The sequence below is a fragment of the Homo sapiens genome, chromosome 1, assembly GCF_000001405.40.
Source record: "Homo sapiens chromosome 1, GRCh38.p14 Primary Assembly".
In the NCBI taxonomy this organism is placed as follows: Eukaryota; Metazoa; Chordata; class Mammalia; order Primates; family Hominidae; genus Homo; species Homo sapiens.
Genome location: NC_000001.11, coordinates 196,346,943 through 196,372,552, shown reverse-complemented (window position 1 = coordinate 196,372,552; position 25,610 = coordinate 196,346,943). Strand labels below are relative to the sequence as shown.

The 25,610-nt window shown below is 34.7% G+C and overlaps 1 protein-coding gene and 1 long non-coding RNA gene across 15 annotated transcripts in view; both read left to right on the top strand.

The window, feature by feature from the left end:
- The window catches only part of KCNT2 (potassium sodium-activated channel subfamily T member 2), a 382,662-nt gene that overhangs the window by 235,888 nt on the left and 121,164 nt on the right, over window positions 1-25,610 (top strand). The gene's annotated exons all lie outside the window — the stretch shown is intronic.
- LOC124904597 (LINE-1 retrotransposable element ORF2 protein-like) lies at window positions 1,375-25,015 on the top strand. Its single transcript, XR_007067045.1, has 2 exons — window positions 1,375-11,206; window positions 12,172-25,015. It is a non-coding gene; the product is annotated as an LINE-1 retrotransposable element ORF2 protein-like (long non-coding RNA).

Genomic DNA, 25,610 nt, shown 5'->3' with positions numbered 1-25,610 from the left:
GTTTTATGAAATACAGAAGTTGTTTTTGACTAGGATGATCAAAGAAAATATAACTAGTGAACATAGTCATTGCTCTTATTTAAAGAGACAAATGTACTTCATTTCATATCTTGTCATATTTCTAATCTTATATTTCAGACAAAATGTTGATTTTCGAAGTAAATTCCACTTATGCTAGTGGTTATGATTACTCATATTAAGTAAGTTAATTGATAATTGTTTAGGTGAAGTGTCAAATCAAATAAATCCAGAAAAAGGAAAATTCTTTTTTGAGATTTATTTATAGATGGATAAGTTGTTAATTTAAAAGTAGTAAATACTCAGTGTTATATAAATTAGATTTTACTGTCTTACTTCTGACTGCCTAATTGGGATGGTAAAAGTTTCTTAGGAGCAATTTTCTCAAAGTTGTGAATAGGAATATTTCTATTCTATATACTTACAAGCCTTTAATCTGTGCAATAGGAAGGATGTAACAGGATTAGGAATGACGTTTATCTTCTTTGCAGAAAGTGTTTGTCATTTTGATGCAATTAAATAAAGTACTAAAAATTATTTTAACACCAATTAAGTGAACATTCATAGAACTCATCAAGTGTCTTCATTATTTTTCCGTAACGTCTTCGTACAGACTCAGACAACTGTAATGATGACTATCTAGGCAACTTCATTGTTGTATACATGAGTGATAAAATAAGTCCCATAAACACTATATAACACAGCTCATTACTCATGACTGAAGTTAAATTTCGTTGTGCATCTCCTAGTAAATATTATTTATTGACAAACAGTATTGCCTGGTGAAAAAGAATTATACTTCACATAAGTTAAAAAAAGATTTTAGTGATCCTTAGAATAAGACGTTTCCCAACATACTCTAATGAATTTTGCCTTATTAAAAAAGAAAGCAATGTTGTTGAAAACATTGTTATATAATTAAGGATTTCCTTTAAATAAGAGTGACTTGCAAAATTATTTTACAACTGTGTCACAGTAAATGCTATCATCCACCATAATAACTTCTTATAGTAGATTTATTGAAATAAAACTTACATACTATACAATTCACCCATTTAAAGTGTACAATTCAATATGTTAAAAGTATATTCATAGAATTATCCAACCATCACCATTAAATGATTCCAGAACCACATAAAGAAATTATCTACCCTTTAGCATCACCCTACATTTTCCCCCCACCAATTCTTGCAGCCCTAGGCAACCACAATCTATTTCTGCTTTTATAGATTTACTGCAGCCTCCACAGTAGCTGGGACTATAGTCATGAACCACCATGCCAGGCTTTTTTTTTTTTTTTTTTTTTTTTTTTTTGTAGTGACGGGATTTTGCCATGTTGCCCAGGCTAGTCTCGAACTCCTGGGCTCAAGTGATCCATCTGACTTGGCCTTCCAAAGTGCTGGAATTACAGACCTGAGCCATTAGGCTCAGCTGAAATCATTTTAGTATATTTGGTAATACAGTAAATAAATGAACGTAAAGAATTTTAAATAATTTGGTTTTGCTTTAGATTCAGGGGATATATGTGCATGTTGGTTACTTGGGTGCATTGCATAATGGTAGAGATTGGGCTTCTAGTGTACTGGTCACCCAAATGTTGAACATTGTACATAATGTTTTTCAAGGTTCATTCATATTGTAATATGCACCAGCACTTTATTCCTTTTTACAACTGAATAATATTCCATTGCATGGATATATCACATTTTATTTTTCCACTCATCAGTTGGTGGGTATTTGGGTTGCTTCTAACATTTTCACAATGCTGCTGTTAACATTTGTGAAAAGGTTTTTGTGTAACATAGGCTTTCATTTTCTTGCGTCTATATCTAGGAGTAGAATTGCTGGGTCGTATGGTCACTCTGTTTAGCTTCTTTAGGAACTGTCAGAATATTTTTCCAATAGCACTTTGATTATCATCATCAATATATCAGGATGCTACTTTCTTTACATCATCAGCAGTATTCGTAATTATCCGCGCTTTTTTTTATCATAACCATCCTAGTGGGCATGAAGTGGTCTCTCCAGCAACTTACCCAGTACTCTGACTAATACAATTCCCAAGGCTGATTAAAACTCTTACAATATAACATTTTCTTTTTCTATTTGTTATTATGTTAATTCCAGTTCTAGCTGATCTGTCAGTCATAAATAAATTAGATGACTTCATAGAACTGTGTAATTTATATTTTTAGAGAGTTTATTCTGTATTTTAATGCTTCTCAATTTTTTTCCTCATTTTTCAGACCCGCTCACTTTATTTACATTTGAGTGTTCTGTGCTCTTGGCAGTGGTATGTCTTATTGTTGATTAAATTAGCATTTTTATTTATTTGGCAATCTTGTCAAAAATAAGTTTATTCTCAATGAAAATAAATTTATTCTTCCACAATGGTTGAACTAGTTTACAGTCCCACCAACAGTGTAAAAGTGTTCCTATTTCTCCACATCCTCTCCAGCACCTGTTGTTTCCTGACTTTTTAATGATTGCCATTCTAACTGGTGTGAGATGGTATCTCATTGTGGTTTTGATTTGCATTTCTCTGATGGCCAGTGATGGTGAGCATTTTTTCATGTGTTTTTTGGCTGCATAAATGTCTTCTTTTGAGAAGTGTCTGTTCATGTCCTTCGCAGTGTGGTGATTCCTCAGGGATCTAGAACTAGAAATACCATTTGACCCAGCCATCCCATTACTGGGTATATACCCAAAGGACTATAAATCATGCTGCTATAAAGACACATGCACACATATGTTTATTGCGGCATTATTCACAATAGCAAAGACTTGGAACCAACCCAAATGTCCAACAATGATAGACTGGATTAAGAAAATGTGGCACATATACACCATGGATTATTATGCAGCCATAAAAAAGGATGAGTTCATGTCCTTTGTAGGGACATGGATGAAATTGGAAATCATCATTCTCAGTAAACTATCGCAGGAACAAAAAACCAAACACCACATATTCTCACTCATAGGTGGGAATTGAACAATGAGATCACATGGACACAGGAAGGGGAACATCACATTCTGGGGACTGTTGTGGGGTGGGGGGAGGAGGGAGGGATAGCACTGGGAAATATACCTAATGCTAGATGACGAGTTAGTGGGTGCAGCACACCAGCATGGCACATGTATACATATGTAACTAACCTGCACAATGTGCACATGTACCCTAAAACTTAAAGTATAATAATAAAAAAACAAAAATAAATAAAAAAAAATTTATTCTTTAGAAAAAATCACCTTTGAACATGGACTATAATGATTTCCACAAGGAAATGCTGGATTATCAGTCCAGTTTGTTAACATTCAACTGGCCCATCCTGATTACATTTCAGCTTTATCAGAATTTTAAAAATTTAGCAATTCATTTTCTTTGTCTTTCAATTTGTTTTCACAATACTTAATTAGTCCCATCCATGAGGTAATCTTTTTCACCTCAGTAATAATCGAGGGGTAAGAAAAAGAGAGAATTGATAAGAAAAATACTGCTTAGTTAGAATTCACAGAAGTTTGCCACTGATTAGATATGAGTGTAGAAAAGAGAGAGGGGGAAAAAAAGAAAATCTCCTCACTTATTGACACTGGACAGTAGAAAATAATGAAGTACATAGTTGGCAGAAGGAAAAGTGGTTTGATATTGGATGTATTTGCTTTCTGATGAAGACATAATGTGGTAGGAATTGCTGCACGCTTGGTTCCTGAGGTGGTGGATCGTGCCAGTCAGGCTCACAAATGTGAAGGAGGAAGTAGTAGGGATTTGGGAGAAATGACAATTTGAGACTATTTTCTAGGAATTTATTAATTCTAGGAAATAGAGTGAAGAAAAGGAAAGCAAATATAGTATAGCATAATAAAATAACACTGAGATAGGATTTCTAAAAGGAACTGGATTGTTAACAACATAGATGATTCTAGATTAAGACTGAGCAAGCATTTTGGAGGCTGTTCTCTGAGGACTTCTGAAAAAACAATTTCTACAATGGGGATTTTCTTATTGTGAGAAAATATGAACAAATTAAGGAATGATAAGAAATGAAGTGTGGTTGGAGATTGCTACTTCATTAGGTTTGTTCATTAATCGAAGAAAGAAAAATAATGGAAGTCCTATTGCACAGAAATGTTAAGGAAAGCTTTTTCTATGTACACAAGTATTTATCTATTTTTGTTTGCTTTTAATGTTTAAATTTTAAGTACCACTAAAGAAAAAGAGATTGAAAACGCAGTGAGGGAGTAAAGGATGAGATCCGGAGACTGGAATGCTTCTGCATGATAAAGGGAAAATCATTTATTCCTTAGGAAGTAATGGGTGAGGCAAGTGGTGATTTACACTAATTTTATTTCTGTGGAATAAGGAATATTGCATTAGTTAAAAATGTGTTCTGCCCCATGTAATGTAATATCTCACTGAAAGTAGGGGTGGTGTTTAGTTTACACCTTAAAAACTATGGGTTCAGCATCCAGAGCAGGCTATCTGACTCAGTGACGTCATCAGAGCACGTTGTTCTGTTTTCTTATTCCAACATCTTTACCCTATAGTCTTTACCCTTCAGGATTCTCTTATTGTAATCGTAAAATGCATTCTCTGCTTCAGGCTAGTCTTCTAGGTAAGAAGATGGAAGAATGTCAAAGGGGCAGATTATTGCCAACTGAGGCTATATTTAAGGCTTTCCATGAGTCCCACTCATTGCCTTTTAACATATAATTGGTCAGAGCCCTGTCACATGTTTCCAGACATATCTCAAGCATCCTGAAACATTAAGTATTTTAGATTTATAGCTTTTTAATAGAGAAAGGCAAGGGAAGAGTGGTTTATAAAACATTTTGGAGTAGTCAATACAGTTTCTGTCATTTTGTCACAGATTTGTGATTATCATTAAAAATTATACATAGCAAAGAAACTATGCTTTCATATTTTGCATAAAGGATATATTTCACATATTCAAATGTAGGCTTGATTCTAGTTGTATCTGTTAGTTATGTAAATATTTATAAAGTACATATACATCTACACATATATTTACATACAAACATATGCATACATTTATTTAGAATTGGATGTTTACTTTTTAAAAATCATTAGATTAAATATCATACGAACGAAATGGTAAATCAAAGGATCTTAGAAGGGAATATATTGAATCATACAAATAACTGAGATCACCTAAGTTTTACATGTGAAGTACCACGAAGGTCATTGACAGTCATTAAAGAGAGAGCTCAAATTTGGTGATGCAATCATTCTGCTAAAATAAATATTACGTATACCTATGGTATAGTTACTACATGATTTTTTTTTATAGTTCTTTACCTGAATTTTAATGTTTCCTGTCACAAACCAAAACAAGTCATATGATTATTATTATAAAATGTATGATAAAGAAATTTATCTCAGTAAAGCAGCAGCTGAAATTATACTCTTCAGGAATCACAAATCCTAATCACAAACAAAATTCTTTCTGTTTTGTAGTAGGCGTGTTGCAAATTCAGGAAGGAAATGTGGCATAGAGGAAAGAACACTGGTTTTGGCAGACAGAAATGGTTGACTCATTAACTGCCAAACCCAATTAACATTGAACCAACCTACTCCACTTAATTTTCAATCATATTATATGGAAAGTTGAGATAATAATTTTTACCTAATCCATTTATTTATTCACTTATTTAGCAATTAGTTATTGAATATTCACTGTGTGACAGAATGATTTCAGGTGTTCTTAAAAAACCAGAAAAATCTCTGCTCTTGGGGAGTTTTTATTCTAATTGGAGAGACAAAATAAACAATAATAAACAAGTAAAATACAAATATTTCTGCTGGCAGTAGTGCTATGGAGAAAAATTAAGTAGGGAAGGGCAATGAAGAGCACAAGGATGTAGCAGTGGGTTTAATTTAAATGATACAGTCATTGTATGACTTCATCAAGGAGTTGGTATTTACAATGACCTGAGCAAATTAAAGTAATAATTATGCACATATCTGAGATATAAGTTTTCCAGGCAAAAGGAAAAGCAGAGACTCTGAGATGCAAGCACATCTGATGACTTGAGGAACATCAAGAAGACAAGCAAAAGCCGGGTGTGGTGGCTCACGCCTGTAATCCCAGCACTTTGGGAGGCCGAGGCAGGCAGATCATGTGGGTTCAGGCATTTGAGCCTGGCATGATCAACATGGAGAAACCCCATCTCTACTAAAAATACAAAATTAGCCTGGCATGGTGGTGCATGCCTGTAATCCCAGCTACTCAGGAGGCTGAGGCAGGAGAATCCCTTGAACCCAGGAGGCAGAGGCTGCGGTGAGCTGAGATCGCGCCATTGCACTCCAGCCTGGGCAAAAAGAGCGAAACTCTGTCTCAAAAAAAAAAAATAATAATTAAATAAATAAGTAAATAAAGAAGACATGCATAAATAGAGCAGAGTGAAGGAAGAGAAAGGTAGTAAAAGTTGAGATCTGAAAAGAAACAATGGGCCAGGTCATGTAGCGTCTCCTAGGCCATTATAAGAATGTTGATGAACATACAAATTTGGCTGTCATGACCATATAAACCCCATTTAAAGCCTTGAAACTGGATGAAGTCAACTCACAGGATTACTTTGAAAATTATGTAGCCATGCCCAACCATAGTAATTGGTCTTTAGTTGTCTCATTGGCTTTGTTAATCTATATCAGTCAGAATCTATACAAGTAAGAGTCAATCTTTTAATTTGGTGTCAAAATTGGCAGTTTGAGAGAGACAGGAGAAGACAAAACAGGATACCCAGAACCACATGTTGTATTTGTGATGGAGTAGAAGAAAAAGTCCCATGCCTTGCATGTTTGTATTTTATATCTAAATCAGAATATTCCTAAGCCTATACCAAAACATCACAATTTCATGACTATAAGAGAATAAATGTTCATAATTTTATTTAGATTTTTTTTGGAACAATGACATTAACAAACAAATAGATAACAGGATGCAAGAACAGCGACAACATGTTTTTAACCATGGCCAATCTTTTGATTCAATGCCTTAAATATTACAGAAATTAGGATTAAAGGTATTTTGAGAAAAAGGTGATTTAAATACCTATAATGTTGAACCTTTTTATTTTCAAGTGATATATTATTCAGTCATAGAAGATTTTTATAGAAGAAAGCCACCATGAGTTACAGGAAGTATAAAACTCTTTTGTCTGCTTAAAAGGTGTATGTTTTTAGTGACCATTTGAAATGAACAATATAAAGAATTGAAGAAAGAATTATTGAAGAGGCCTTAAATAAGACAAATTTATTTGAAAATTAATCAGAAGACATAAAGATTAAAATATAGGTATCAGAGAAAATAATTGTTAACTTCTATTAGTATAAGCAAATAATAGTTGCTATTAGATTCAAATACTGATAACACATTATTACAAGGATATTTTGAAATAACGTTATTTTGATTTATGAGACCAAAGAAAGAGAAGGTTCCAAATACTAATCAGTTGGTCTATGATATGAATGTATATTTGAAGTACTCTGAATGGATGAAAAGATTTAAGAATTCCAATGCTATATTTTATAAATATATTAAAAGTAAGGGGAAGCAAATTTGCTTTTACATGGCGCAGAATTAATTTTAAAAAGTTGCAACATTGTAAATATGTTCCTCAGAGGTGGTTATTTCAAAAGAAGTTCTTCATTAACTTATTGGGAAAGTATGTTATTTTCACAAACAAGTTCAAACAGCAGATCTAGATATTGCTGCAATGCTCTTTGTGAAATGAAAATTCTTATAAACATTAGCTGTTAAGTTTATCTGTTGTGTTCAAAGTAATTGGTATCTTTAAAAATAGAAAAGAAAAACAGAATACCTGATTTACATTTGTTTGCTTAGCTTTCAAGATTTCATTATGCCTGTATTCAATTGCTAAGTGTAAAATTACAGAAAGGTGGTTTTATTCAGTTTTCTATCATGAGCATTTAAGCTTAAGGGAATTTTAGGATTCCTCAAAAAACTATTTCACCAGAGAGATTGCTGAATAATTTTGCAAAATCTGCAGCCACAGTAGAAACACATTAAGCCAAAATGCAATGTAATTAATTTGTGTGTATGCTGTATAAAAAGTGATTCTGTAATTTCATATGGTTGCCAAATTTGTGTTACAAGGCAAAATTATTGTTTTTGGATGGGTGTTAATACCTTTCCTGAAAAATAAAATTACGTATTCAAGGAAGTTTGGAAATATTAGGTTAAACATATTTTAATGACATTTTAAAAACCTTTTAATTTGAACCAATTTTAAACTTACACAAAATTTGGAAAACCAGTAGAGTTCACACATACGCTTTCCATACATAAACTTCCCTTAACATTTATCTTTTATAATCATAGTGCAATTATCAAAAGAAGGGGTTAACACTGATACAATACTATTGACTAAATTATAGGCCTTATTTGAATTTTATTTTTTTTCATTAATGTCTATTTTCTGTTCCACAACTCTAAGATCCTGCATTGCCTTTAGTTGTTATTTCTCTTTAACCTCCTCCAATTTGTGACAGTTCTTGTGGATGAGATTGGAATCAGTATAAACTCATGATTTTCAATGTATATAAACAAAAAAGATAGATACAGAAATACAGATGTGCCTCTATGTATGTTTGCTAGTATATATACTTACAATTCCTGGCCATGTCTCTGAGACAGAACAGAGGCAATGACATCTCAGTAGCAATGAGCAAACATGTCTTAGTAAATTTGTGTTGCTACGACAGAATACCTGAGACTGAGTAATTTATAAAGACAGATTTATTTTCTTGGGGAGTCCAAAATTCAGGGCCAGAATCTTGTGAGGGCCTTCTTGCTGTGTCATCCCATGGCAGAAGGCAGAAGGCCAAGACAGTATGTGTAAAGGGAGCTAATGAGGAGGGTGAACTCATGTTTATAACAAACCCATTCTCCAGCCATAGGATGTTAATCCATTCTATGAGGCAGAGCCCTATGAACTAATAAGGCCTTATTAGGCCCCACCTCCCAACACTGTTGCATTGGGCATTAAGTTTCCAACACATGAACTTTAGGGAACATATTCAAATCCTAGCAACACTTAAGGCTCAGATCTTGATTGGTAAACATCATCCTCCAATATAAATATCCAGGGCTCCTTGGAGTATTGGTTGATTCCAGGAATGGGGCAGGGAAAATACAAGATAAGCCTGAAAAATGTTGTGGTGGCAGAAAGTAAGGAATTGCTCAGAATTATATGGGGGCTGGTCAAAAGAAACAACATGAAGGAAGTCCTAATGGGCTAAGATGGAATCTTTTGGGCCACAAAATAAATAATGATATTAGGTTTTAGCCCATAAAATAAAATAAACATCCAGTAGTCCATACTAATATAAATAAGTAAATAAGGGATAAGGCATAGCTCTTTCTTACTGAAGAATTCTAATAAATATAGAAGGAAAGAGAAAAATATGAAGTCACCATTAGGCAAACACTACAGTAATAATTGTGACTCCTCAATGAGTACTAATATTAGGGGTGAAAGTTTGAGGAGAACTAGTATAATTGTGTGCTTTTGACATGCCTCCCTAAAATAGTTAATAACTATTAAGGGAAAATTTGTAACTTTATCATGGAGGAACCTGGGAGACACCATCTAAACCAAGGGATCAAGATAACCACAATCAATAAAGATGTTTTCATGTTGCCTTTCATATGATGCACTAAGAAGTTACTTTGGTATTCCTGCCAACATTTTCTAATCATGTGAAATATTGAGAGCATCCTACAAAATGACTGCCTGAAACTCTTTAAAATTTCAAGTCTTCAACAAAGAAAGACTGAGGAATTAAAACTTTATTTTAAAACATTTTAGCTTAACTCGAGGAGGTTTTAAATATTTGGAGATAGTATTTTGACTGGAGGATTTCCCTCAGCAAAACCTTTATGAAAGTATGTATTTGGAAGAAAAGAAAGGCCAGCAAATGTCAGGTAAAGCAATGCTTTTTTCTCTTACTGCCTTGAACCCAAATTCCAAGCAGAACTTTTAAGGATCTGAACTACACCAGACAGAAGCCTTCAATGTTTCTCTGACCATTAGGCTAATGAACTCAGATGCAAATTAGCCATGAGATCTTCCTTGTCTGTCATGCTCCGGCATCCAGAATCTCCAATTCTAAACACTGTGATAAGGGAAAATAAAAATCCATTGTCATTTATCATCACCAGAAAAGAAGGACTGAGAAAGACCACAAGGCAGGAGGAAAGCAAGGAAGGAGGTAATGACAGGAAGACAGGAAGACTTTGTTTCCCTTTAATCCTAAACTCCTCACAGAAGCCCCAGGGAATCAGCGGTCATGAGGGAGGAGGAGAAAGTTTCTCAAAAGTAATAGGGATTATAATTACCACACTGACTGCAAGAAAGCAAGAACAAACAAACAAAAAAAGTGGGGGAGCATGCTCAAATGAACTATTTTTAGTTCCCTTGGAAGTTTCACACTCAAAAACTGTGACAGAGAACTATATTTTGTAACCTGGCAAATCTAGTCCATCACCCTCCTCCTTAGGTGGATAAAATAGAGTACCAGTGAGGATGAGAGGCATTTTGATTTCCCTTTAGAGTGAAACACACACACACACACACTCACACTCACAAACACACACACAATTTAAAGTCTTAATGTGATTGATTGCTATAAATTTGCTAATTGTTAGTTGGCATATACAACTTGAACTTTATTTGATATAACTTTCTTAAATCTGAGCCTCTGTTTTCATTAATAGATTAAAGTATGTTTTTGAGTGGTTTCAGTCAGATTTGAAAGTATTAACAGACTTCTTTTCCAAACCCCACATCTCCTTCCCACTCCTATTACCCCACACCACCAGCTACCTGGTGACTTTCTGACTGCAGCAAAGTGGGGAAGCGCCCTTTATCAATGGGTCCATGACTCATTCTGGTCTCATAAACTTCTCAGGTAGACAGTGTAGCTACTTATTATCTAGCTGCTGACAACAGCTAATGTCATCTTCTGGCAAGCTTCCTGGTGAGCCATAAGTCCAATGCCTACTGCTTGTTCTGAGGACACACATCTGCCCTACTTACTACTTCACAGAGCTTTTTTATGAATGGGCTCCTGGGATCCAACTGCTTCTCAGTCATCTCTGGCTGTCTAATTGCATCATTCTGGTGTCTCCTTAGGCTCCCTCAGGTAACCTTCGGGACATATCCATTACCTCATCAATGGATGTATGAGAAAGATATATACAGACACTATCTATGGCAAACTCTCATCTTCCTCTGTTTGTGTGGGCAGGGAGTGTAGGATGCTTTGTGTGTGTGTGTGTGTGTGTCTGGTGTCTGTTGGAGAGGGCGTTGCTTGTGGTGATTCTTATCTGGCTAACTCAACCGGTTCTTTTAACCTACTTCATGCCCCTGCATATCCGCTCCATAGGCTGCTGTTCAACTAACTATGTCCTGGGAAGAAATGTGGAACTTTCTGCTGAGTGGATTTCCAAACATGGAAAGGCCTTTTTCTTACTTCTATCCCATATCATTCCCTTTCTTTCCTCTGTAGGATATGAATTTCACTTCATCAGGATACTACATAATGGTTAATACTTGCTCTTCTAAAACTCTCCCACCTTGCACTATTCTGCTCTAACTTACATGGATCTTTGCGGCCATAGTATTCGTTTGCTAGTGCTGCCATAGAAAACTACCACAGACTGGGTGGCTTAAACAACAGAAGTTTATTTTTTCCACAGTTCTGGAGGCTAGGAGTCCGAGATCAATGTTTGGTTTCTGCCCAGTCCTCTCTCCTTGGCTTGCAGATGGCTGTATTCTCGCTGTGTCCTCACATGGGGTTTCCTCTGTTGCGCCCACATTCCTGATGTCTTTTGTGTGTTCAAATTTCCTCTTCTTCGGAAGACACCAGTCAGATTGTAATAGGGCCCACCTCAACAGTCTCAATTTAATCACATCTCAAAGAGCCCATTTCCAAATACAGTCATATTCTGACATACTGGGTGGGGGATAGGGCTTCAACATATGAATTGTTGGGGGACACACTTGGCTGAGGAACACCCTGGAGGTGGGGACACCATGGGTTCTACTGAAACACATTTACCAACTGCTATTGTTGCCTCTATGCAAATAATTCTGCCATTTCCACAGAAGCCTGCTTCTTTAGTCGTGGGAATTAAGAAAGATGATATGCAATCCCCAGTTGTCCTTTCTCCATTTCTCCTGTGGCAACAAACAAACAAGAACAAAAAAAAACCTACTACAAGGCTGGAGATCTGAGTGGAGGTAATCACAGGAAAAGAAAATAATAGTAATAGTAAATAATAAAAAAGTAAGTTCTTAATCTTACTTTTTAAAAAATATAAGGCAATGTGTATTAAAAATCTATATGGAAAGGCATTTTATTTGATGTATCCCAAAATCTACTTGACTGAGAAATGTTTTCCTAGGCAGACTCATTAAAAGGTCAACAGGAACAAGTATTCTATTAAACATATTTTGAGGAATCTGGATGTTGACCCTTGTCTGGCAGTCCCATGCTTGGAAAGTGTTTAATAGTTCAGCATTCATTATTAAATTAGATTTAAATATATCTGCCTTAATTCTTTAAGGCTGTCTATGCTCTAGTACTAATTTATTTTTGTATCCTTATCTCTTGATTCTCTTATATATAGCATGTACTCCAAATTACATGATCCTAAATATACTTTGTGGTTTCCGCCTTCTACATCTTTTTTTAATGCTGTTTCCTCTGCCTTCCTAGAAGGTTTTGTTAAATCAAAAATTCTATCTCTTCATGAATATTTTTAATCTCCTTAATTCAGTGTGATTTCTTCCTTCTATGAACTTGCATAGATTTTACTATGTTCTGCCAGAGCAGGTATTATTCATTTTTTTCTTTACTTATGAGGTTGTAATTTCATTCAATATAGAGAACATATCTTGCTTATCTTTAAACCTTCCATAATGTTTTTCACACATGCATCTTCAACAAATATTAGTTAAATAAATGAAATAAGATGCACTAAAGATTGAGATGATTTATTCTTTGGGTCTATGCCCTGGTTCCAAGTAGTTTATGAACCATATGCATTTATCTGCTCTCTCTCATGAGACTCCATTGATACAAGGAAAAAGAAATTTTTAATAAATTATAAGCTTTTATTGATGAAAAATAAATAGAAGAAGTGAGAATTGAATGAATTTCTGGGAGATGGAAAGTAAACAAAGCAATATTTTCTGTTGGAAATCACGGCCCAGACTTTCTTTAAAGGGTGATATAGTAAGACAAAATGCCAGTCCCCGATGAAACTTTGAGGGTACAAGGTGCCTAGAAAAAGAGGGCAAATATTAATTCAAGTTATGTATATTGAACGATGACTTACACCTCTTTCATTAATCACAGTACTATTTCCCTGCAGTTAAGTCTGGCTAGACATTTATCATTCGGGAAAAATAAAACTTTTCCTAGAATAATTTAAATAAAACGAAGTCCACCTTAGCAGATAATTTGGAGCTGGGTTCCAGTTCTCTATAATCTGGTATTTGAGAGGCCCCAGATTGAGTAGTCTAATTTCTTTTTGCTTTCTATATGGTAAAACCTACCATTTAACACATCATATTCACAGACAAAGGAATCCATTTAATGTCCTTATATCTTGTACTCGAAATTTGAAATATGGCTCTTGTTATTTGCTGAATATCAGCATGCAGGATGAGATGAGAGAAATATATCCAGCCAAAGGAGAGCAACAACTTCTGTTCTGTTGTACTGAAATTGTTTTGGGTCTATAGCTAAGGTTGGGTGTTACTTACACTCATTAGTAAACATAGATTTGTTTAAAAAAATCAAAACTATAATATTTAAAAAGAGAGTCAAATATATATTTTCAAAACAAGGAGTTTCAGTAAGTGAAAACAAAGTACATTAAAAAGAGATTCAAGCATGTATTTGAAAAGTAGAGTAGTATAAACAATAATTTAGAAGACTATTTTGAAGTATTATAAAGGGTGGTGATGATTATTCAAAGGAATAAAATCTTATGGATTTTGTTTTTCCACAGGCTTAAATATTTAACTTAAATTTCTGTTGAACATGATTCTGGAGGTGCTGATTTTGTCTTCAGTATTAAGGGGATAAAAGGGTCATAACAAATAAATACAGAAATCCAAAATAAAATAATGATAATTATTATTCCCAGCAAGATTCAAACAGAACAGGAGTTGTGGTGGAGAAATGGAGAGGAAAGACCTGTTGAAATTAAAAGAGTGATTGCTGAAATTTAAAAAAAAAAATTGTTTTGGAAGATAATCTCATAGAAATATTTAGGATTTTAGATAAAAATGCAGAGTTGGAATATACAAGCAAAAAGACTAGAAGCACAGGAGATCAATCCAGAAGAGATGATATTTGCTTTGGTAGCAGCTCCACCAAGAGAGGTTAGAGAAAATGATAGTTAGAAATTATAAGAGAAGAGGAGAGACTCAAGCCTGTAAATTGTTAGGGTCTCCTGAGTGTGAGTCGTAATAAATAAAAAAGAACCACTCTTAGATACTTAGCACTGCCAAATTATAAAAACACTAATGATGAAGAAAATTTTCTGAAAAGGAAAGAGGAAAAAGAAATTCAGTATTGATTAGAGCTTTTAAACTTTAGACAAGACTACCCATTGCCTAGTTTTAAGTATAAAGAGAAATATAAAGGAATATAGTCACAGAGTCATTGGGAAAGCAATAAAGTTACTCTCTATGTTAAACTTGCATAAAAAATTCCCACTACCACACCAAGCAACTAACCAGATAAAGGAGCTTTGGCCTCTAAAAGCCCCCAGAACAATACTACCTCTACTAGCCATCCATTGCAACAAAATGGATGCCTCCCACCCTGCCTGTTTCCTCCCTTAGCTCAATTCCAAAACAAACACCTATATTTGTATCTGACTGCTGGAACCCAGGCCACATGTCTGCACCACAGCTAGAACCAATGATTCCTAAAATTTACCACTGAAAAGGGGTCCAAATTAGAAAAGTCAGGCACTCAGTCTCCACAAGGGATTGGAATAAATTAAAAACAACATATCAAATGGAATGCATCTGTTTTTTCTCCCAGCTGGAAAACAAAACCATAAACTCCAAGAAATAAAGAGTTTATGATAAAGCAAATTAAAACATGTCATAATATAGAGCAATAAGTAGTCAGTAAGTAAAGAGAAATTATTTGAACATTCTTTCTGGATAACTCAGGGAACTGCAGATAAGGTCATATAATTGAAGCCCTCCACTTGACTCTCAATGAACTCTATTGCAATCCGCATAATAATGTAATCACTGCTCACAGGCTCTCTACTTTAAATCTGAAGTCATAGACTTATAGCTAATAAACAAAACACCAATATTTACAACTTCAACGATGTTCAAGATTTAACAAATAAATATTGAAATAAAAATGAGAAGATATGGAAATGAAGAGGGTAGCTAATATCATCCCCAGGTTCCAAAATAGAAAATCAAGACTCTGTCTATAGTTAGTGAAACATAATTTTAAGTATGGTAAGTTAAAAAGTACCTAGTAAATCAGAGATTGCATATGAAACAAATTCTACCAGTAGATAAGTTTTATTTGGCTGCCAACATGGTGTCAGCATTTTTTTTTTCCTTTTGAATTGTTTTCTTCGAATTTGCGGTTCAGTAGACATCCAACAACCAATTCACCACAAGTCTGAACACTCCTTATATCCTATATCTGGCCTGACTTATGTGTTTACTTTACTAAATTTGCTCTGTAGACACTAGAGTCAGAACATTGAAAAATAGAAATTAAAAATAGCAATATGATTATATAAGCAACTCTGGGGAAATTCACTGTGAAAAAATTCTTTTCTGTTATATCTTACAGGAGGAGGTCAATAGGTAGTACCTACAATAATAGGGTAGTAAATGTGGTAACATATTATTAAGAGATACCTTAAAACTCTCTGAAGTAAGCTCAGGATTTGGAAGCATGTGTTGTTAATTTTTTTTGATCAAAATTTAAGCTATGAATGAGAAAATAGCATTTAATTAAGAGTTAAAACATTATTATGGTTTGGTCATTTATTTAGTCATTTTATAAATAATCATCATATGCATCCATACTATGTAAGGTACCATGTTAGGACTTTGGGGAATATAAGCTTGAATACATTGTGATCACAAATCAGACCAATAGTCTGATTAATAGACAATTACTCAGACTAAGTGCAGGGCAGGATGAAATTTAATATTGCTTTTATATGTATTTGGAATGTATTACAAATTTCCCCTAATGGTTTTATTTTACTAATGAAGATTATTTTTAGTTATGGTAAGAATTAATTACTTGAGAAGAAATCAAATGACAACATGGAGAGACAGCAGAAATGTCCTAGTTATAATTATTTTAAAGGGCAAATGATAAAATGTAAATAACAGCAATAGGAGCTTTGTAAGTTCCTACATGTCTAAGTATTAATATTTATGGAATATATCTTGCCTGGGAAATTCACTACAATGTTTTAAACTAAAGGTACAGATATAGCAATGTAATATAAATGCACAATGGCATGAAGCACTTGAATAGAAGCGAAGCATATGGTATTCACTAAGCAAGCAGGCTGTGATCTGTGTGAGAGAGGGGAAAGTACAATGTAGCTATAAAATTTTATTAATGCTGAAGTAGAACAGTTGAAAATCAGTGAGATATAACTTATTTAATAATGGAGTTAAAGAGCTGAGAATGCAGCTCCAGTATTACAAGTGAATTTATTTTTTCACCTGACAGTTTAAAAAGTAGATGAAAAGTCTTAACACAATTTTAGGGTATTTTTTGTGTGTGGTGGTAACAGGAATTAAATGAACACTTCAAAAAACCCGTTGAGAGTTATTGAAGGAGAAACCAACGTTAAGGGCAGTGAATTTAAGCTACTTTCATGTACAATCAACTTTTAAAATCTAACTTTGGCACCTTTTTTTATTTCTCATTGAAGTAGATGCCTTTCAAAATGGTGTTCATTGTTTATGATCACTGTCAATAATGCTTGAAAACTATTTAGCATTTTCCTATTCTCTCCACTTTTGATGGCCATTTTTCTTATCCTGAAAATGGCAAACAGCTTTCCGGTTCCACCTGGTGGTAGAAAATTGATTACCATGCTTTATATTGTGTCTGCAACTTTTAATCTTAGAACTCAGATTTCTAATTTGATGCTTGGTGACCTACAATGTTGGGGCAGTTCTGCTGTTCAAGAATTGGAATTCATAAGCATCTTCCTAGTAGACCAAGGTGTCTTTTTTTTTTTATTACTTCTATCTGGAGTTCTCAAGTACTTTTCTTTCTAGATATTCTGCATCCGTACAGTCAGTTCTATCTGCAGACTTACAAGAATAAATGTTCATATAATACATAGTTATGTGTTAGCTGTTTATTTTGTAAACTCATCTGTTTTGGAAGCTTCTGTGTACCCCACATACCCCCGTACCGTAAATTATATTTACCTTTCCAATGAAACTGGCTACGATTTGTCAGAATTATTTATTTGACCTACAGTGGCTAAACTGTGGATTCCTAACATTGATAGTAAAAGCAAAATTGTAATACCATTTAAATATTTTAATTTTTAAATAAAGTTTGCAATAATTGTGAAATAATGTAATTCATGAGTGCAAAAAAACACCCTGGGAAGTATACAAACAACAAACTGATTGCAACCAAATGGACATTATTTCCATAGATTATGGAATTAAATAAAGTGCATTAATTTTAATTAGATTTAAACCCTTTGGTGACTTATTTTAGACCTTTAAAATCTCCTTGCAATCAATATAGTGAATTAATACATTTTCTTATCTTCTTCAAAATAGAATATCAATAAAGAAATTTATATTTAACTCATTAATCTTATTTAAGTACAAACTGGAATGAAATTCTTTCCCAAAAATGTCAAAATATTTCTACAGTTACGTATATGCAAAAATTTCTGTAGTTATATATATGTAAACACTTTTACTACATGGTGGAGAATGAATTATATATTAAAGTTATCTTGTGACAAGGTGCTCTTTATTCCCATTGATGCAAAGATAACTTAGTTTGATAATAAATATAAATATATAAAAGTAACTAATATGAAAATCTGTGTCAATTTTGGTGAATCTGAAGTAAATTATTTATCATCTGTTTAGCTACATTATTTAGGATCAAAGAGAACAAAATGTACTAGCAAACTAAATCCAAGGATTACAGTGTAGAGGTGCTTAAAACAATGCTGTGAAAGAGGTAGACTCCCACTAATGATTATATTTTACAATTTTAAAGGCAGTGCTTCATAACACCAAGGCTTTTCTTTAGTTTACCTCTAGTGTGATGGCATTCTTATATACATAAAGAAAATATGAAAATTAAAAAAAATAAATTCTACTTTCTAACATCTATTAATATGAATTTCACAAAAACATACAGGTTCATAAAAACGTAGGAAGTCATCAGTATAATAAGATTTTGTGCTATTTTATTAAAGTGGGACTACTTTACTGAACAGGGTAGTACAGCATATCCTGAAATAAGAACAGAGTATGCAACATATTAAGACTTCAAAATATTGTATCTAGGACAGGAAATTCCAATTAAATCCTTTATTTCTCCCTTTGGAAAAACTGATGTGGGGAAACTCTTAAAAACAAAACTATATAAGGTTCTTTTACTGCATTCAGAGGTCTGTATTGAAATACATTTCCGCAAAAAACAGATCCAACTACTTATTAGCTAACAGCCCTTATTCCACTTGGTTGATTATTTTGAAGTATAGTAGACTAATATGTGAGTTAATTCTTTCTGCCAATAAATACCCATTTGCCTTGAAAATGCAATCATTGTTAAGTGAGAAATATGCAACTCGTGTTTTAAAAAATTGTACAAATTGATTTACACACAATCCAAAAGTTAATGGAACAGATAATATCTTTACCTTGGAAACAATAAACAGAAGGGAACAAACAGCTTTTTTGCGGTTTGTTTTTTTCTAACCAATAGTTACTATGCTGAGAGGAACCTTCATGTTGCCCCAGGTTTGGTGATTATAATCCAAAACTGAGGACAAAAATGATTCAAGTATTTTATTTGCTAATCTTCTTACCCTTCTATAAAAAGAGATGATCGGAGAGGGTGACAGATAGAGGAGCACAGTGGTTATGCATCCACCCCCAGCCCAGTGAGATGAGGTCCAAAAAAATTACTTATTACTCATGGAAAATAGGATGTCTGCCTGCAGTAGGAACTAATATCTCATTTGCCAGTTAGACATCTGCTTATGTAGTTTCCTGAGATTATTTGACCATGAGGGGAAAAAGAGAAGGAGATGGCAAGTCAGGGAGATGACAAGTAAGGGAGTAGAGACTGCTGTGGAGCAGCCCATACTCTTGCGCGTGAGTTTCCTGAAGCACAACCGATAGTTTAAAAAGACCACAGTGCAATCAAACTAGAACTCAGGATTAAGAGACTCACTCAAAACCGCTCAACTACATGGAAACTGAACAACCTGCTCCTGAATGACTACTGGGTACATAAAGAAATGAAGGCAGAAATAAAGATGTTCTTTGAAACCAATGAGAAGACACAACATACCAGAATCTATGGGACACATTCAAAGCAGTGTGTAGAGGGAAATTTATAGCACTAAATGCCCACAAGAGAAAGCAGGAAAGATCCAAAATTGACACCCTAACATCACAATTAAAAGAACTAGAAAAGCAAGAGCAAACACATTCAAAAGCTAGCAGAAGGCAAGAAATAACTAAAATCAGAGCAGAACTGACAGAAATAGAGGCACAAAAAACCCTTCAAAAAATTAATGAATCCAGGAGCTGGTTTTTTGAAAGGATCAACAAAATTGATAGACCACTAACAAGACTAATAAAGAAAAAAAGAGAGAAGAATCAAATAGATGCAATAAAAAGTGATAAAGGGAATATCACCACTGATCCCACAGAAATACAAACTACCATCAGAGAATACTACAAACACCTCTGTGCAAATAAACTAGAAAATCTAGAAGAAATGGATAAATTCCTTGACACATACACTCTCCCAAGACTAAACCAGGAAGAAGTTGAATCTCTGAATAGACCAATAACAGGATCTGAAATTGTGGCAATAATCAATAGCTTACCAACCAAAAAGAGTCCAGGACCAGATGGATTCACAGCTGAATTCTACCAGAGGTACAAGGAGCAACTGGTACCATTCCTTCTGAAACTATTCCAATCAATAGAAAAAGAGGGAATCCTCCCTAACTCATTTTATGAGGCCAGCATCATCCTGATACCAAAGCCGGGCAGAGACACAACCAAAAAAGAGAATTTTAGACCAATATCCTTGATGAACATTGATGCAAAAATCCTCAATAAAATACTGGCAAACCGAATCCAGCAACACATCCAAAAGCTTATCCACCATGGTCAAGTGGGCTTCATCCCTGGGATGCAAGGCTGGTTCAATATATGCAAATCAATAAATGTAATCCAGCATATAAACAGAACCAAAGACAAAAACCACATGATTATCTCAATAGATACAAAAAAGGCCATTGACAAAATTCAACAACCCTTCATGCTAAAAACTGTCAATAAATTAGGTATTGATGGGATGTATCTCAAAATAATAAGAGCTATCTATGACAAACCCACAGCCAATATCATACTGAATGGGCAAAAACTGGAAGCATTCCCTTTGAAAACTGGTACAAGACAGGGATGCCCTGTCTCACCATTCCTATTCAACATAGTGTTGGAAGTTCTGGCCAGGGCAATTAGGCAGGAGAAGGAAATAAAGGGTATTCAATTAGGAAAAGAGGAAGTCAAATTGTCCCTGTTTGCAGACGACATGATTGTATATCTAGAAAACCCCATTGTCTCAGCCCAAAATCTCCTTAAGCTGATAAGCAACTTCAGCAAAGTCTCGGGATACAAAATCAATGTACAAAAATCACAAGCATTCTTATACACCAATAACAGACAAACAGAGAGCCAAATCATGAGTGAACTCCCATTCACAATTGCTTCAAAGAGAACAAAATACTTAGGAATCCAACTTACAAGGGACGTGAAGGACCTCTTCAAGGAGAACTACAAACCACTGCTCAATGAAATAAAAGAGGATACCAACAAATGGAAGAGCATTCCATGCTCATGGGTAGGAAGAATTAATATCGTGAAAATGGCCATACTGCCCAAGGTAATTTATAGATTCAATGCCATCCCCATCAAGCTACCAATGACTTTCTTCACAGAATTGGAAAAAACTACTTTAAAGTTCATATGGCACCAAAAAAAAGCCCGCATCACCAAGTCAATTGTGAGCCAAAAGAACAAAGCTGGAGGCATCACGCTACCTAACTTCAAACTATACGACAAGGCTACAGTAACCAAAGCAGCATGATACTGGTACCAAAACAGAGATATAGATCAGTGGAACAGAACAGAGCCCTCAGAAATAACGCCACATATCTACAACTATCTGATCTTTGACAAACCTGACAAAAACAAGCAATGGGGAAAGGATTCCCTGTTTAATAAATGGTGCTGGGAAAACTGGCTAGCCATATGTAGAAAGCTGAAACTGGATCCCTTCCTTACACCTTATACAAAAATTAATTCAAGATGGATTAAAGACTTAAACGTTAGACCTAAAACCATAAAAACCCTAGAAGAAAACCTAGGCATTACCATTCAGGACATAGGCATGGGCAAGGACTTCATGTCTAAAACACCAAAAGCAGTGGCAACAAAAGTCAAAATTGACAAAAGGGATCTAATTAAACTAAAGAGCTTCTGCACAGCAAAAGAAATTACCATCAGAGTGAACAGGCAACCTACAAAATGGGAGAAAATTTTCGCAGCCTACTCATCTGACAGAAGGCTAATATCCAGAATCTACAATGAACTCAAACAAATTTACAAGAAGAAAACAACCCCATCAAAAAGTGGGCAAAGGATATGAACAGACACTTCTCAAAAGAAGACATTTATGCAGCCAAAAGACACATGAAAAAATGCTCATCATCACTGGCCATCAGAGAAATGCAAATCAAAACCACAATGAGATACCATCTCACACCAGTCAGAATGGCAATCGTTAAAAATTAAGGAAACAACAGGTGCTGGAGAGGATGTGGAGAAAGAGGAACACTTTTACACTGTTGGTGGGACTGTAAACTAGTTCAACCATTGTGGAAGTCAGTGTGGCAATTCCTCAGGGATCTAGAACTAGAAATACCGTTTGACCCAGCCATCTCATTACTGGGTATATACCCAAAGGACTATAAATCATGCTGCTATAAAGACACATGCACACGTATGTTTATTGCGGCTCTATTCACAATAACTAAGACTTGGAACCAACCCAAATGTCCAATAATGATAGACTGGATTAAGAAAATGTGGCACATATACACCATGGAATACTATGCAGCCATAAAAATGATGAGTTCATGTTCTTTGTAGGGACATGGATGAAATTGGAAATTATCATTCTCAGTAAACTATCGCAAGGACAAAAAACCAAATACCACACGTTCTCACTCATAGATAGGAATTTAACAATGAGAACACATGGACACAGGAAGGGGAACATCACATTCTGGGGACTGTTGTGGGCTGGGGGAAGGGGGGAGGGATAGCATTAGGAGATATACCTAATGCTAAATGACGAGTTAATGGGTGCAGCACACCAGCGTGGCACATGTATACATATGTAACTAACGTGCACATTGTGCACATGTACCCTAAAACTTAAAGTATAATAATAATAAAAAAATAAAAGAATAAAAAATAATAAAAAAATAAAATAAAAAGGTTTGACCTATCTTTCTAGTACCCCATCTACTCCACAAAGTGAGGCAGCTGAAGAAGCTAGAGTCTATAGGGTGTACCGCTAGGAAATAAGGAAGAGTGGAATGCAGTTTCTTGCTTACCAGTGATGTCATACAGAGGCCCACCTCTCACTCCCCGAAAAACATTTTCATGTCTCTATAAGATAGGCATCATGTGGTTACCATCTTCATAGAAAACAATGATGGCAGTTAGAATTAGCCTGCAGAGCAGCGACAGCCCAGGGAGAACAAGCCTGAGCTGGTAAGATTGGAGCTTCAAATTTGATAGGCCTGGGTTGGATTTAAATGGAGCTCCAATGTGATTTTAAAGAAATGGGATCTGCCTAAAATATTATTAAATGATAGGAATGGGAGATCTGAAATTGTATGGCTGAAGGCTACAAAGTCACGGAATTTGTAATTTATTTACTTCACTAGACTGCTTTTTTCCTTTTTCCCAAGCAATCAACTTGTCTTCCAATATCCTTTCCTTTTAATTTTTTTCCATTAAGACATTTGTTGAGGGCATAAAAATGTCAAGGATAATAAACACAAGCTTCTTTTCCTTCCAAGATGTCTCATCAAAAATTTTCTAAGGCTCTCTTGACTGGTATTGGCTGTTGGGTGCATGAACTCTACAGCATGCCCCTTTATTCAGAGAGACTAGAGATCTAGGGGATTCTTTCTTTCTCTTCTTTCCTTTGTTGCCCAGGCTGGAGTAGCTGGGATTACAGGCATGCACCACCACGCCCAGGCATTTTTTTTGTTTTGTTTTGTTTTGTATTTTTCGTAGAGACAGGGTTTCTCCATGTTGGTCAGGCTGGTCTCAAACCCCCGACATCATGAGATCCACCCTCCTCAGCCTCCCAAAGTGTTGGGATTACAGGCGTGAGCCACCGTGCCTGGCCGGGATTCTTTCAAATATTAAACATATACTGTTCTTCTGTACTCCATTTGGTTTTTTAAAATATAATGTTTCATCTCCATATTCTGTTATTTTTTAACTTTTTTTAAAATCCGAGATCATTAAAAGTAGCTGTAGCTAGCAATGATTTTGAAAACAAATGTGGACATAAACTTGGCTAGGAAGGATTCTTTACTATTCAATGACTAGTCAATATAGTAGAACAGTCTCACAAGAGTATGAAGTAGATAACAGATTATACTATTTTAGAGGTTGGAGTGTACCTCAAGGTTAACAGTTAGTAATTACACAAGCCTCTTATTTCTCCTAAATGTTCATTTAGTTGCTGTAAACACATCTTAAATCTTTATTAAATGGTTTTTCATAATTTTCGATGAGCTTCCCACTCTACGCTTTTTGTCCATAATATTTCTTATGTTTTTATTGCTGCTATTTTTATCTAATTACAACACTAAATTGATATAATATTAAATTCACTTCATGTCCATTAGTGATTATGAAACTCAGTTTTTTTTTTTTTAATTCTAATGACACATTTATCATAGAGAAAGTAATTCATTAGACCTAAACATTATTCTGGTGAAGGCAAAAGGAATTATATAATTAGAAAAGCAGAACATTTAGTAATTGAGCATGAAGAACATTGTTAGATTATTCTTTGTTCATTTAACAAAACATATATTAAGCTCTTCCTCTGTGTCGGAACCGATGTCATGTCTTGGGGATATAGTGGTAAACAATACATGATCCCTTTTCTCATAAAGCTTATTTCACAGGGAAGCAAGATATTAAGAATTAATTAACACAATTTAATGTTACAGTATTATGAAAGGAGAAGTACACTACAGCAAAACTGAGGAAGTAATGATTAAGCTGAGGGTCAAGAATGGATACGCCATAGGAGGTAGAGAGAAAAGTATTGTGGAAAATCCTAGACATAAGAGACAGTGTCTTGTTCAGGACAAATTAAAGACTTCTAATGGCTGATGTGCATAAGAGAAAGCAGACAGAAGTAACAGATGAAACCTGAAAGACAGTCATAGAACAGGTGAGCAGGGCTTTGTAATGACAATTTTTCAAAGTTTAACTTTATCAGATGGAAGAAGGAAGCCCTTTAGCATTTTCAATGGCAGAGTGACATGAAATAATTTGAGATTTTGAAATTTACTCTTACTACATTACTGTAAAAGGATTTGTGAAAGCATTCACTGGAAACAAGGAAGTGAGTTAGGACTGTTTTAAAGGTGTAAGAATTGATGATGGAGGAAGGAATAAACAAATAGGTGAGTACAAATCACACCTGGGTGATAGAATTAAAAGATTTGCCGCTATAAGAAGTTTGGAAATGTACTATTTATTTATGTAATTATTTCTCCCTCATTCAAAATCAGTCTTGAATTAAGTCTACCCAGATATAAAAAGTAAGATATAAGAAAAATAGAAAATTGGGATAGAACTGTAAGCTGAAGACAAATTAATGATTTTTAGATAGATCTATAGGATGTAAAATGTCCTGCATTACCAATAAAGGTACAAAAACTTGGCATTTAATATCCTAGTAGCCTCAAGAATGGAAATAAAACAGCAGCAACATTCACACTGAATGTTGGAGCTCCTCAGAACTGACGTTCCTGAACAAAGTGCTGGCTTTTTAGCCAGTGTGTCTGGGTTGAATTATTTGATCTACCCATGCTGGCAAGATCATCAAAGCCATTGAACCTCAGTTTCTTTATCTGTGAAATGGGGGTAAAAGCATATATCTCATAGATTACCAGGAAAATAAA